At 38.0% G+C, this 13644-nt stretch overlaps 1 protein-coding gene across 4 annotated transcripts in view; it reads left to right on the top strand.

Annotated features, from left to right (window-relative positions):
• BUB1 (BUB1 mitotic checkpoint serine/threonine kinase) overlaps positions 1 to 13644 on the top strand; it is a 40536-nt gene that overhangs the window by 5123 nt on the left and 21769 nt on the right. For all 4 annotated transcript variants that reach the window (NM_001278616.2, NM_001278617.2, NM_004336.5 and 1 more), the window contains 8 exons: positions 84 to 280; positions 2373 to 2416; positions 3388 to 3488; positions 5092 to 5144; positions 5236 to 5420; positions 6527 to 6678; positions 11100 to 11359; positions 12905 to 12963. In NM_001278616.2, the coding sequence (NP_001265545.1) occupies positions 84 to 280; positions 2373 to 2416; positions 3388 to 3488; positions 5092 to 5144; positions 5236 to 5420; positions 6527 to 6678; positions 11100 to 11359; positions 12905 to 12963 (1051 nt within the window). The remainder of the gene's footprint in view (positions 1 to 83; positions 281 to 2372; positions 2417 to 3387; positions 3489 to 5091; positions 5145 to 5235; positions 5421 to 6526; positions 6679 to 11099; positions 11360 to 12904; positions 12964 to 13644) is intronic.

Genomic DNA, 13644 nt, shown 5'->3' with positions numbered 1-13644 from the left:
CCCAGCTTAGCTGGCTAACTCCTCACCAGACATAGACTAGCAGTTCCATTATTCTTATGTCTTTTTGTTTTGGGTTCGTGTAGGCTGAGTACAACAGTGACCTCCATCAATTTTTTGAGTTTCTGTACAACCATGGGATTGGAACCCTGTCATCCCCTCTGTACATTGCCTGGGCGGGGCATCTGGAAGCCCAAGGAGAGCTGCAGCATGCCAGTGCTGTCCTTCAGAGAGGAATTCAAAACCAGGCTGAACCCAGAGAGTTCCTGCAACAACAATACAGGTAGTTACAAAGTCAAACTCTCTGTGATGATTCTGACTTTGAAAAGTAATGTTTGCTGTTAAAAATTGTATCATTAGCAATTTGTACAGGGAAATCCTTCTAGTTTTGGACAATGTGGATAATACAGGATAGTGTAAAGAAAAAAACTGCTCAGAAATATTACTGTTAACAATAACTGGCACATTTCCTTCTAGTATCTTTTCCTGTACCTGTGTGGGTATCTTTGTGTTTATATATTTTAACAGCAAATCATATTGTATGTCTAGTTATACATACAAAGAAATACTTAAGAAATTATGAGCTTTTAAACTACTTCTATAGTAGTTGTGAAATCTGTCACAGTGTTGTGTCATAATCCACTCTCCAATTGGACATTGAAGTTGTTTACATTTTGATTTTTATAAACAGCACCATGATAAATACTTTTTTTTTTTGAGATGGAGTCTCACTCTGTCGCCCAGGCTGGAGTGCGATGGTGTAATCTCAGCTCACTGCAACCTGCCACTTCTGGGCTCAAGAGATTCTCCTGCCTCAGCCTCTTGACTAGCTGGGACTATAGGGACGTGCCACCATGCCCAGCTAATTTTTGTATTTTTAGTAGAGACGAGGTTTCGCCATGTTGGCCAGACTGGTCTTGAACCCCTGACCTCAAGTGATCTTCCTGCCTCACTCGGCCTCCCAAAGTGCTGGGATTACAGGTGTGAGCCACTGCGCCTGGCCTGTGATGAATATATTTCTTAATAACATTGTTCACATTTTTAAAACTTTTTCTATGATTAAACATATCTCACTTAGGGAATTGTGAAAATACAGAAAACGAAAGAAAACCTTTTGGCATTTTCCTTGGCGCTTTTTTCTCTTCTTGTTACAGGATTGCATGCATGCTTTATGTACATATACAGCTTTGCGTCAAGGTCTTTTTCCTTCATCATAAAATTATTTTTTAGTATATTTCCTATTTTTACTTAGTTTCTTTTCATAGATTCTCAGAATTGAAACTATTGAGTCAAAGAGTATATGAAGAGTTTTTACACTTGTGGTGCATGTAACCAAACTACCTACTTGAAGGTTATACCAATTGTTTACTCTTCCCCTCTCATTAGTAGAATTTGAGACCTATTATCTACTGCACCCCTTGCCAGCCTTTAATATACTCATCTTTTCAGTTTTTCTGTAGTACTCATGCTTTTTTAAAACGTCATTGAGATTTTTCAAACACACATAAAAAAGAAAAAATTAGTATAATAAACTTCCATTTATCTATCACCAACTTTTAATAATTAACATTTTGTGTTTCTCAATGCTGACAAATTTTAAAGCCGATCCATAACAGCAAAATATTTTTCCCCAAACCCTATTGTAAACATCTCTAAAATCTTATTTCTTACAGAGCCTTATTCGATAATCATACCTAAGAAAACTAACAATAATTATTTAATATGTAATTTTCAGTCTTTCCTCATCACGTAAAATGGCTTCTTAACCATTGGTTTGTTTGACTTAAGAGCCAACAAGGGTTACCACTTGGTTGCTTTATAGTGTGCACTTTGGCTCGCATCGCTCAGAAATGTCAGGCATGGGAATTGCACATTACCCGACAGGTAGAGTTGAAAATGAAATATGCCATGAAATGACATATTTGAGAACTTCTCACAGAGTATGAACAATGATGTCTGCCTTTTGAAGCAGTAATCTAAGTACTTTTGTACTTTCACTTCTTTCTTCCAAATATATTCATTATGTTCCAAATGTATAAAGAACCTAAAGTAGGAGGTCAAACATCCTGTGTTAGAACATTTGCAGACTTGACACGTGGAGAAGAGGGTGCATTTTTATATGAATTTGAGAAATACTAACATAAACTAAGCAAAAGGAGGAATTTTTGTAATACAGATAATGTATTGGATATAAAAATATTTCCAGAATTTTATTTTTTAATTTCGAAGCAACTCTAAAATGCAACTGTACATTCTCTCTTGACGTCAGACTTTACTAGCTTATAATAAGTTGTCTATGGTATTTAGTTTTCACTCTAACAGCTATGTACTGTAAGTTTATAATCTACATTGATGCCTTTTCTGCTGTCATTTAGGTTATTTCAGACACGCCTCACTGAAACCCATTTGCCAGCTCAAGGTAAAATCAGGCTTTCTAAAATGCCTGTTGTTGTCCATTTAGTCTTGGATTTGTACTAGTATTTTCTTTTCTTTAAAAAACAAACCCGGCTGGGCATGGTGGCTCACACCTGTAATCCCAGCACTTTGGGAGGCCAAGATGGGTGCATCACCTGGGGTCAGGAGTTCGAGACCAGCCTGGCCAACATGGTGAAACCCCATCTCTACTAAAATACAAAAATTAGCCAGGTGTGGTGGTGGGCATCTGTAGTCCTGGCTACTCAGGAGGCTGAGGCAGGAGAATTGCTTGAGCCCGGGAGGCAGAGGTTGCAGTGAGCTGAAATCATGCCACTTCATTCCAGCCCGGGCGACAGAGTGAGACTCCGTCTCCACAAAAAAAAAAAAAAAAAAAAAAAAAAACCCATCCAATTTTTAATGAAAACCAAATTGCACTCTCAGGTAACAGAGAAAGCATTCTGATCATCATAATGCCCACTAAATAGCCCCAAAGAGCAGAGGCTTTGTCTTAGCATTTTAAAAGCTCAAACCTGCAAAAAAAAAATTGATAATTTCACTGTATTTGTAGGATTTTTTTTTAATTCAAAATTGACCAAAATACTTAATCTGGACTCCATCTATTTTGAATGGAATCAAATGTGTTTAATGCAACTTTTAAAGAAATACAGCCATTTCTTTTTCTTAGAACTAAGTATCACATTTCAGCAATAAGCATTGCCTATCCTATCTGGTTGTTTAAAATTATTAGTTAGGTTTTACATTTCTTTTGGGTACTTCCTGGCATGTTGAGTTGATCAGAAAATTGTATAATACTTATTTTAAAAACGTTTTAGTTGAAATTTCTGAGACAGTGTGAATGAGTTGATTTACTTCTTATGATTCCTACTGGAAGGATCAGGGGAATTTATTATGTGATAATTTTACTTACGGTTTTACCCTTAATTTCTCCGTATTTTATCCTCTTTTCCCTCATAGCTAGAACCTCAGAACCTCTGCATAATGTTCAGGTTTTAAATCAAATGATAACATCAAAATCAAATCCAGGAAATAACATGGCCTGCATTTCTAAGAATCAGGTAATAATGACATTTGTAGCTTGTGTGGAAACTGGGAATGGTATTGAATGGCCAGCCTGGCTGCCTTCTACATCCACTTTGACATCTCATTTCTTTGATCTTTCTCTTCATGGCTCTGAGCTCCATGTCAGCCACCTGCTCCTGTGGCAACTTCCTGGGCCTGTTATTCTCCCACACAGCTCACCTCAAATACAATTTGTTGTCTAACCCAGAGGCCCTCACCACACGGCCTCCTGTCTTTACTCTCCCCACCAGCTTTTCCCTTACCAATGTCCTTTCCTCTGTTCTGCTGGCCTCTGCATAGGCTCTGGAAATCCCTACTGGGAATGGATCCACCTGGGGGCTTCTGAGCCTGGCTTTCAAAACTCAGAGCCTCAAAGATTGCTGCCTGTTACCTCAAGTAACAGGGAGGTCTCATACTCCCAGGCAATGGGTCATACTCCCAGGCAATGGGACATGCTTCCAGTGTCTGATTCACTCTTTATGTTTTGTGTATCTCTTATGTTTCCAGGTTCACTCTAGCGCCAAACTATAGTGATTTTAGACTTCTTTTCAGTCTCTTCAAACTTGGGACCTCGCTACCTCTAGCCTCTCTCTCAGGAACTTCAAAAATACTATTTCAACAGATAGCAGATGCCATCAAGTGACATCTATCAGTTTTCTGCCACCAACCAATAAATGTAACTGCATCCTTCCCTGTGAGAAAAGGTGGCCTTCTATCTGTGCTTGTCCTTATCCTCATCAAGGTTTTTGCCCTGTGGAGATCTCTTCTGCCTCCATGGTGTATCAACATGGGAAAATGCTCAAGTCTCTCTTCTTCCCTCAGCCTCATGTTTCCCAACTATGTTTCCCATGTTACCCTCCACAGTACAACTTTCTTTCAAAGTTCATCAAGGACCTCCTTGAAGCAAAAGCCAATGGAAACGCCTGTGTGCTTAGGGTGTATGTACAGGTTTCATTAATGTAATACATTCTTAGAAGTAGAATATGCGCTCCTGACTTTGACAGGTAGTGCAGCTTGTCCCAATTTACATTTTACGTCCTACACATGCTTGCCACCCTCCTGACCACCTATTGTCCTGTCTAAGCTCCAGACAGTAGAGATGGGTCTTGATTGCAGTCACATTTCCCAGACCTAGCTCAGAGTGTGACATGGAGGTGTCTGGCAAATATTTGTTTAGTGAAGGAATTTGAGAACTCTTGAGGGCAGAGTAGTACCTGAGGAAAATTTTAATTAAAAAAAAAATTAGCAGCAGTTGGGAATGTCAATCCCATAATGTTCAGACACTATACTCTAGCTACTAGACTATGAATTGAAGGGAAATCAGCTATGGTTCTTCTCTACTGCTGAGTAGGACTTTATTAAAAACAAAACAACAACCAAAAAAACCTCTTTCTTTGATTAGATTAAGTTACAATAGTTATTGTAAGGTTGTTGATACAAACAATCTTTTGATATTAATCATAATTTAAAATTACATAAATCTACTTGGGATTAAGGTCCCTCTTCCCCTCAAGCATTTTCATATTGTTTTGTGAAGTAATTTGGGTGAAGCTTTCTTCTCAGATAAGTGAATGCTCATGTTTGTTTTCTGTTTTTTAGGGTTCAGAGCTTTCTGGAGTGATATCTTCAGCTTGTGATAAAGAGTCAAATATGCAAGTATAATCAGTGCATTAATCTATTATTAGTTTCCTTTAAGTGCTCTTAGGTACATTGTTGTAAATAATGTATTTTCCCCCATTGTAGGGAACGAAGAGTGATCACGATTTCTAAATCAGAATATTCTGTGCACTCATCTTTGGCATCCAAAGTTGATGTTGAGCAGGTTGTTATGTATTGCAAGGAGAAGCTTATTCGTGGGGAATCAGAATTTTCCTTTGAAGAATTGAGAGCCCAGAAATACAATCAACGGAGAAAGCATGAGCAATGGGGTACTTGCAATCTTGTATTTTTAGTTATTCTTATGTCACATAAAAAAATCCTCATCTCTGAGTAATTACTTTTTTAAAGAATAATTGACTATGTTGAAAGACTGCAAGAAAGTCTTCATCTCATCCTATCAGAAGCCCAGAAATCATTATTAACCCATTTTGCGTTTGCCCCGAGAAAACTGCGCTGGCAGCAAGCTGCACTTTTTTTTTCTGAATTGGAAATTGCTTAACCACTAGTGTAGCAGCCAAGTTAGTCCAAGGACTAAATTGATGTCTTGGCAGCAAACTCATAGTTGAAAGAGTACTAAATTAGATATCCATACCAGTGTCATCTTAGCTTTAGTGAAATAAATATTTAAAAATTTTTCAGTATTATCTGTATATAGTAATTCTAAACCTCTAGGTCAGTTATTTGAACCTTTATTCCACTCAGGACTTTTATACTATCTAAGTTATTTGGGCTATAGCCATTCTGGGCCTTTCTTTTCTGTTCATTACTTTTCATACTCGGTTGACAACAGAGAAGACAAGTCAGTTAACACAGAGGACTCATTTTGTGCTGGGCATAGATGTGTTTTTCTTTCACATGCTGTGACCAGAAGTTTTAAGCCAGACTCTTTGACTTGCCTGTGGCATGACTCTGTTAACCAGTTGTTGGAAATGGGACTGACCACAGCATGCTTGAAGCCCTGATCATTTAGTGCAGTTCACTTCTACTTAGAAAGTCTCTAGAAATTTTTATCTTATAAAAACAAATAAAAATTTATTTTAAAATGATTTGCACAATCATGATTGTTTACAAGAACAGTCATGTATATGATGGCTACAAAAATCTTTACTATTATACTGTGCTATTATTATTATTTTTGATCAGCATGTAGTTTTTTTTTTTTTTTAGTAATTTACATGTCCTAAACATGTAGTAGCCAAGCTGTGGGCAGGTAAAAATTAAAAGGTAATACAAGTTTCACTTCTAAAACCAAATATGAGAAAGACTAATAAAAAAATCGGCCCCCTAAAATATAACCCTTTCCTCATTTTGCATGTATTCCTATGATGACCTGGATTTAAATTTTGCATGCAAACCATTTCTATCTTTCCTAAAGTAAATGAAGACAGACATTATATGAAAAGGAAAGAAGCAAATGCTTTTGAAGAACAGCTATTAAAACAGAAAATGGATGAACTTCATAAGAAGTTGCATCAGGTGGTGGAGACATCCCATGAGGATCTGCCCGCTTCCCAGGAAAGGTCCGAGGTATGTTGTGCTCCTCATGACACATCCTGTGCCCAGCAGCAGGAATGGCAGTTTGATTTGTTCCTTTCTATGTGCTGTTTTAGAGTTAATTCTGATGTTAATTTAGCTAGTAACTTTCTGAAAGTCTAAAATAATTTGACATAGACGTTCACAATGTAGAGTGAGAGTGGAAAGTTACAAAACAGAATGGTAGTATGTTTTACATGTTTGTGTATGTGTACATGTCTATATATTCATGTATTTATATATAGACCTTTTTCTGGTTTTTGTACAGTGACTATTGTGTAATGAAAATTGGAGTATAGTACTCTCAATAATTTATCATTTAGATATATTTTTTGTTTGCCATTATTTCATCTTGGAAAAGCAGAGAAGTGATGAGTGTGTTAGAGCCACATATATTTTCTTAAAATTAGTAGTGAATGAAGGAGATTGGAAATAAACTCATTTAAACTGTATAATGGTTGCTTAATCTTTCATATTATATGTTTGTCTATGACATAGGATACGATGAAGATAAAATACTTTATTTTCTTACATATTTGGAAAGTATAAAAATATGTGACTAGATGGTTTTTTAAAATATCACATGAAAGGTGTGTATATATGTATATATGAAGGAGAGCATTCATTTGTATATATGTATGTATGTATGCATACACACACACACACACACACACACACACACACAAACATTCTTTTTCTTTTTTTTTTAATTTTTAGACGGGGTCTTGCTCTGTCACCCATGCTAGAGTGCAGTGGTATGATAACTGTTCATTGTATCCTCCTTAGTAGCTGCAACCACAGGCATGTGCCACCACACCCACCTAATTTTTTATTTTATTTTTATAGAGATGGGGTCTCGCCATGTTGCCCAGCCTGGTGTCAAACTCCTGGGCTCAAGCGATCCTCTTGCCTCAGCCTCCCAAAGTGTTGTGATTACAGGTGTGAGCCACCACGTCTGGTCTGAATGTTCTCCTTTATTGCTAACTGCTATAGTTTGTATTTTTCCAGACTTATTGTGTATGAAAACACATAAATATGAATACAATAGAACGTTCTACATAAATAAGACTTATTTTCTGCTTTTTCTACCTAACACCTCTGATAGATCTTTCACTGCTATTGCATAGATATCTAACTAATTCTACTTGCAGCATAGTCTTCTGTCATACCTTATAAAAGGGAGTGTATCATGTAGAAACTGTTAGAAATCATGCTACCTTTCAAGTGTATGTACCTAAAATGCTGTCAGTCTGCCCTCTATAAACTTCGGACTGTGCACTCACATTAACAGTGTGTAAAAGGACTTGTTTCTTGTACACATTTGGCTAACATTAACTATACTAAATCTTTTCAAGCACCTGATGTAGTTTCTTTAATTATAGGTAGATTTGGACATTTTTTGGATACATTTCGTGGCTGTTTAACTTCTTTCCTTTAAATTGACTGAATGGCTTTGTCCATTTTTCTATTGAGTCATTTCATTTTTTTTCTGATTTGTTTGGATTTCTTTTTGTATAATTTATATTTTCCCTGGATAGTTGCAAGAAATTGTTAATAAATTGTTCTCCCTGGCTCCTTTCCTGTGGTATATCCCTGGTTCCCATGTCGTTATCTCTCCTTACTGTCCTCATTTCGAAGGCACACTTTCTCCAGTAGCTTATTTAAAAAAAAAAAAAAAAAAGGCAACAGCAGCATGTTTGAGGGGTTAGTTTTTGAGGTCTCTTGCATGTCTAAAAGCATCTTTATTTTACCGTCACATTTGGTTGATAATTTGGTTGGGCACAATGTTCTAGGAGGGAACTTACATTCCCTCAGAGTTTTTAAAGACACTCCTTCATTGTTTTTTGGCTTGCGCTATTGGTGTGGAAAAACCCAGAGTCCTTCTGATTGTTGGTTCTTTGATGTGATGTTTGTTTTTCTCTAGAGGGGTGTAGAATCATTTTTCCCTGCTGTATTGTGACATAGTGATGTATCTGGTATTTATCTTTTCATCCATTATACTTAGTGCTTAAATGTTCTAGTTTTGCAATTCTGGGGAATTTTCTTGATATATATTTTCAGAGGTGGATATTTTTTCCTCATACTCTCTGTTAGGCTATCCTGGACTGGTCATTTAATTTTCTTAAATTTCACCATTTTCTATCTTTGTCCTTTTTTCCCCCTAATTTTCTTTGAGATTGCCTTAATTTTTATGGCCATCTTATTAAATTCTTTTTTTTTTTTTTTTTTTGAGATGGAGTCTCACTGTCTCCCAGGCTGGAGGGCAGTGGCATGGTCTCAACTCACTGCAAGCTCCGCCTCCCGGGTTCACGCCATTCTCCTGCCTCAGCCTCCTGAGTAGCTGGGACTACAGGCGCCTGCCACCATGCCTGGCTAATTTTTTTTGTATTTTTAGTAGAGACAGGGTTTCACCGTGTTACCAGGATGGTCTTGATCTCCTGACCTCGTGATCCGCCCACCTTGGCCCCCCAAAGTGTTGGGATTACAGGCTTGAGCCACAGTGCCCGGCCAGCATCTGCTTTTAAACAGAATTTTACAATGTTCCTATCTTCACCTCCACCTTCACTTCCATTCTGAGGTGTAGCTAGCATTGTAGATTTCTGAACTTGTCTAGCAATTAGGGACACACCGCTCCTAGCCTCCTTCAACAGCTATGTGAAGTGTTAGAATTCCTTCACTGTCATGTTGGTGAGATTTTTGGAGTATATCAAGCCACTGTCTTTAACTAGAAGCCTCCCTTTTTCAAACTTCTCTGTATGAATAGCATCAGGATATATTTTCCAAGTAGATTGCCTGTTGTCTGTAAATCATTTATTGATCTGCTCAGCCTTTCCCCATTGATTTAAAATATCTTTACCATGTACTAAATTTTCATATATACAAGATCCAATTCTAAAATATCTATACCTTTGCTTTAGTCAGTAGATCTCTTCTTGATCATTTCATAGGTGTATTTACTACAACTTTCTTTTTTTTTGAGACGGAATCTCCCACTATCGCCCAGGCTGGAGTGCAGTGGTGCAATCTCCGCTCACTGCAACCTCCGCTTCCTGGGTTCAAGTAATTCTCCTGCCTCAGCCTCCTGAGCAGCTGGGATTACAGGCGCCCGCCACCATGCCCAGCTAATTTTTTCTATTTTTAATAAAGATGAGGTTTCACTATGTTGGCCAGGCTGATCGTGAACTCCTGACCTTGTGATCCACCTACCTCGGCCTCCAACTTTCTTATGTGTTTTGGTGTCTGGTGGAGAAAATCTCTGGTATTGTTCAGAATATTTCTTCAGAATTGAATATTATGATGATTTTTAATCTTTACTAATTTGGTAGGTGAGAAAATGGTGTAGGTTATCATTTTTGCTGACGAATGAGGATGAGGTTTTTATATTTTTTTCCATTAGTCTGTAAAATAACTATTCTTGCCCTAGACATTTGGTAGTGTGTGTTTGTTTGTGTTTTGAGGCAGGGGCTCACTCTGTCATCTAGGCTGGAATGCAGTGGTGCAATCTCAGCTCACTGCAGCCTCCTCCTCCCAGGCTCAAGTGATCCTCCCACCTCAGCTTCCTGAGTAGCTGGGACTACAGACACATGCTTCCATGTCCAGCTAATTTCTTGTATTTTTTTGTAGAGACAGGGTTTTGCCATGTTGCCTAGCCTGGTCTCAAACTCTTGAGCTCAAGCAAACCACCAGCCTCGGTCTCCCAAAGTTCTGGGATTGATTACAGGCTTGAGCCACCCATGCCTGGCTGGTGTTTTTCTTAACAATTTATAAGCATACTTTTATATGGTGAGAAATTAACTCATCTAACTTTGTAACACTAAAGCATACAATTACAGTCTTACACTGATGTGAGTAGCAAAGCAAAGATTTTAAATTTAGAGCTTGTTATGCTTCCTGTTGTGAGACAGGCTTTTGTGGCAGTTATTATTGCAATTTATATTTGTGTTTCCTATTCTTCAAAGTGAAAACGGCTATGAAAAGTATTTTATTTATTTATTTTTTTCCCTTTTTCAAGCCCTATCTCATATACCAATCTAAGGGTATTTTAATGGGAGGAAAACCGTAATGAGCTTTTGATAACACTGATTTGTCGACCTTTTCCCAAAATTAAGTAAAGAGAAATAAGATAATACTTAAATGCTGATACAACTATAGAGACTTGTTATTTCAGTGGTTAGAAATTATAAGCTGCTGATGGTGTCTGTGGTTCAGAAGCTACAAAGCATCCATTTTGTAGAGTGGTCTTTTTGTTGTTGACTGTACATTTCAGAATGCTTGAAGAAGGAGTATGGGGAAACTTCAAGGAAAAAGGAATCCATTGAAGACAGATGCCATGCTTTGAGAAGATGTAATGCCTGATTAGTAGTATTCTGGACTTCATGGTTTTGTTTTTGTTGTTTGTTTGTTTAATATGAAAGGTTAATCCAGCACGTATGGGGCCAAGTGTAGGCTCCCAGCAGGAACTGAGAGCGCCATGTCTTCCAGTAACCTATCAGCAGACACCAGTGAACATGGAAAAGAACCCAAGAGAGGCACCTCCTGTTGTTCCTCCTTTGGCAAATGCTATTTCTGCAGCTTTGGTGTCCCCAGCCACCAGCCAGAGCATTGCTCCTCCTGTTCCTTTGAAAGCCCAGACAGTAACAGACTCCATGTTTGCAGTGGCCAGCAAAGATGCTGGGTAAGCTGAAGGTAGTCCTAGAGATCACAGTGATGTGAGTGGCACCTGTCACCTTCTTTACATGACCTGCATTATCAGGAACAGTATGTAAAAGATGAATGATGTCTGCCTTTTATTTTTAGATAGGTATGTTGTTGAAAAAGCAAGTGGCAAAACATTGCTCCCAATCCTTTAGGCTTACTTATTCCATGCTTCTTTTAGAATATTTATTTTATACTTTCGTGAATTAAAAATTTTCAGTACCTGAAAGTCAACAGTCACTTTGTAACTGAAGAATATACAGCTGTTAGGCTAAAATTCCCTTTGCTCACTGGCTTTGATTGAATACCTACAGGGATCATAACTGTCTAGACAATTACTTGACATGTGTTCTCATATTCCTTCTGTCTTCCCATAGAGAGCAGTTTGGGATTAATACACATGATTCTGTCTCTCAAAATGTACCTCTGCACTGGAAGTTTTTACCCCAATTTTGAGGGATTTTTCCAGATTTCAGAAATTATAGTTAATGTCATATCACTCGTTTAAGTTACATTTTTACCTCCAGTCATTTTGGCTCTCTTTTAGCTCGTTTTTATAGGGATTTGTAAAATTAAAAATGCTTTGCATGTTTTACTTTATACCTTAACAGGGTTTATTAAGGGAACTCCAGCAATGTTAAATAGACATGTTAGATCCACTACCCCAAGTGCACTTAAAGTGTGATATAAATGGCTTGTGTGTCATTTTTTTCTTTCTTGATAACCATTACTTTTAAATGCTAGAGGACATTGCACTGTGGCTGCTGGCTTATCACAGCAAAGGTATCCTGCACAGCTGAGGCGCACCAGTGCTTCTCCACGTCCTGACTCTGGTTAGCTGCCTGGAGCCGGGCTCAACTCTTTAACCTCTGTAATGAATGGGATCATTTGAATAGTCATAGGACTCTACCACATATAGAGATGGTTCTTATCCCTGTAATCCCTGTGTCACACAAATGTTTAGTACCTGGTCTTTTCTGTAAGAATTCTTTTCCTGAAATGGAACTGAAAGGAAAAAAAAAACAGTTTATTTACTAACACTGTAGACCCTAAGTAGTTCCATCTGTATTTTAACAGGCTTGTAATTATTGACTGATTCTTTTTTCTTTCTACTATTATTTCTTGAGAGTCAGTTAAAAATTCTAATAGATCAAGCATTTTTTTGTTTTGTTTTTTTTTTGTTTTGAGATGGAGTCTCGCTCTTGTTGCCCAGGCTGGAGTGCAATGGTGCGATCTTGGCTCACTGCAACCTCTGCCTCCTGGGTTCAAGTGATTCTCCTGCCTCAGCCTCCCAAGTAGCTGGGATTACAGGTGCCTGCCAGCACACCCCGCTAATGTTTTTTTGTATTTTTAGTAGAGAAGGGGTTTCACCATATTGGCCAGGCTGGTCTCGAACTTCTGACCTCAGGTGATCCTCCCGCCTCGGCCTCCCAAAGTGCTGGGATTACAGGCGTGAGCCACCACCGCACCCAGCCTAGATCAAGCATTTTATTCTCTAGTGTGTCTCAAGAGTTTTCTCTTCCAGATGTGTGAATAAGAGTACTCATGAATTCAAGCCACAGAGTGGAGCAGAGATCAAAGAAGGTAATGTTTAATTATAATAAATGTGTTTCTGTCCAGATTCCTCTGTATCACTCAGAGGTGTATTTTGTGGCTGTGGTTTATGAAGGCTTCAGGCCTTAATGAACCTGAGTGTTAGATTTCCTATTCTTAGAGTATAGGTTATTTATCCCTGAACCATTTCAAATAAATGTAGAAATCCACTTGTTAGTCTCATCTTCTTTAACATTCTTTGGAAATGTAATTTGTGAATACATTTCTAGTAAATTTCTCAGGAAATTAATCCAAAACAGAGTCATCTTTAGTATGTTAGGTAGGAAAGGTTATCAAAAGTTTAATTAGGAGTGTTACACTGTTATTCGGTACTACTTTGTTAGAGGCATTTGCATAGGAGATAAGTCTTATAAATAATAAGATGCACAGGTTGGGCTTTCACTTCTCCGCTGTGTGACTGGGACATTTTTTTTCTGGACAGTTTGGTGAGGAGGAGGGCTGTTTGAAATAGCTGGAGGTTCATTAACTGAACCAAGACTTACTGAGCCTGCTCTGTAGGTGCCAGGCACTGTTATACATAGTTAGGGATGAAGTCATGAACAAAAAATCTCCACCCACACAGAGGGGGAAAGAAATGTACTATTGGAGTTATGGGGTTGAAATTTCAGTCAAGGTGATATTTGGGTAAAGGGCTAAAGTTAGGGAGCTACC

This window comes from Homo sapiens, chromosome 2 (assembly GCF_000001405.40).
Source record: "Homo sapiens chromosome 2, GRCh38.p14 Primary Assembly".
Lineage (NCBI taxonomy): Eukaryota > Metazoa > Chordata > Mammalia > Primates > Hominidae > Homo > Homo sapiens.
This window is presented reverse-complemented; position numbering and strand designations above follow the sequence as displayed.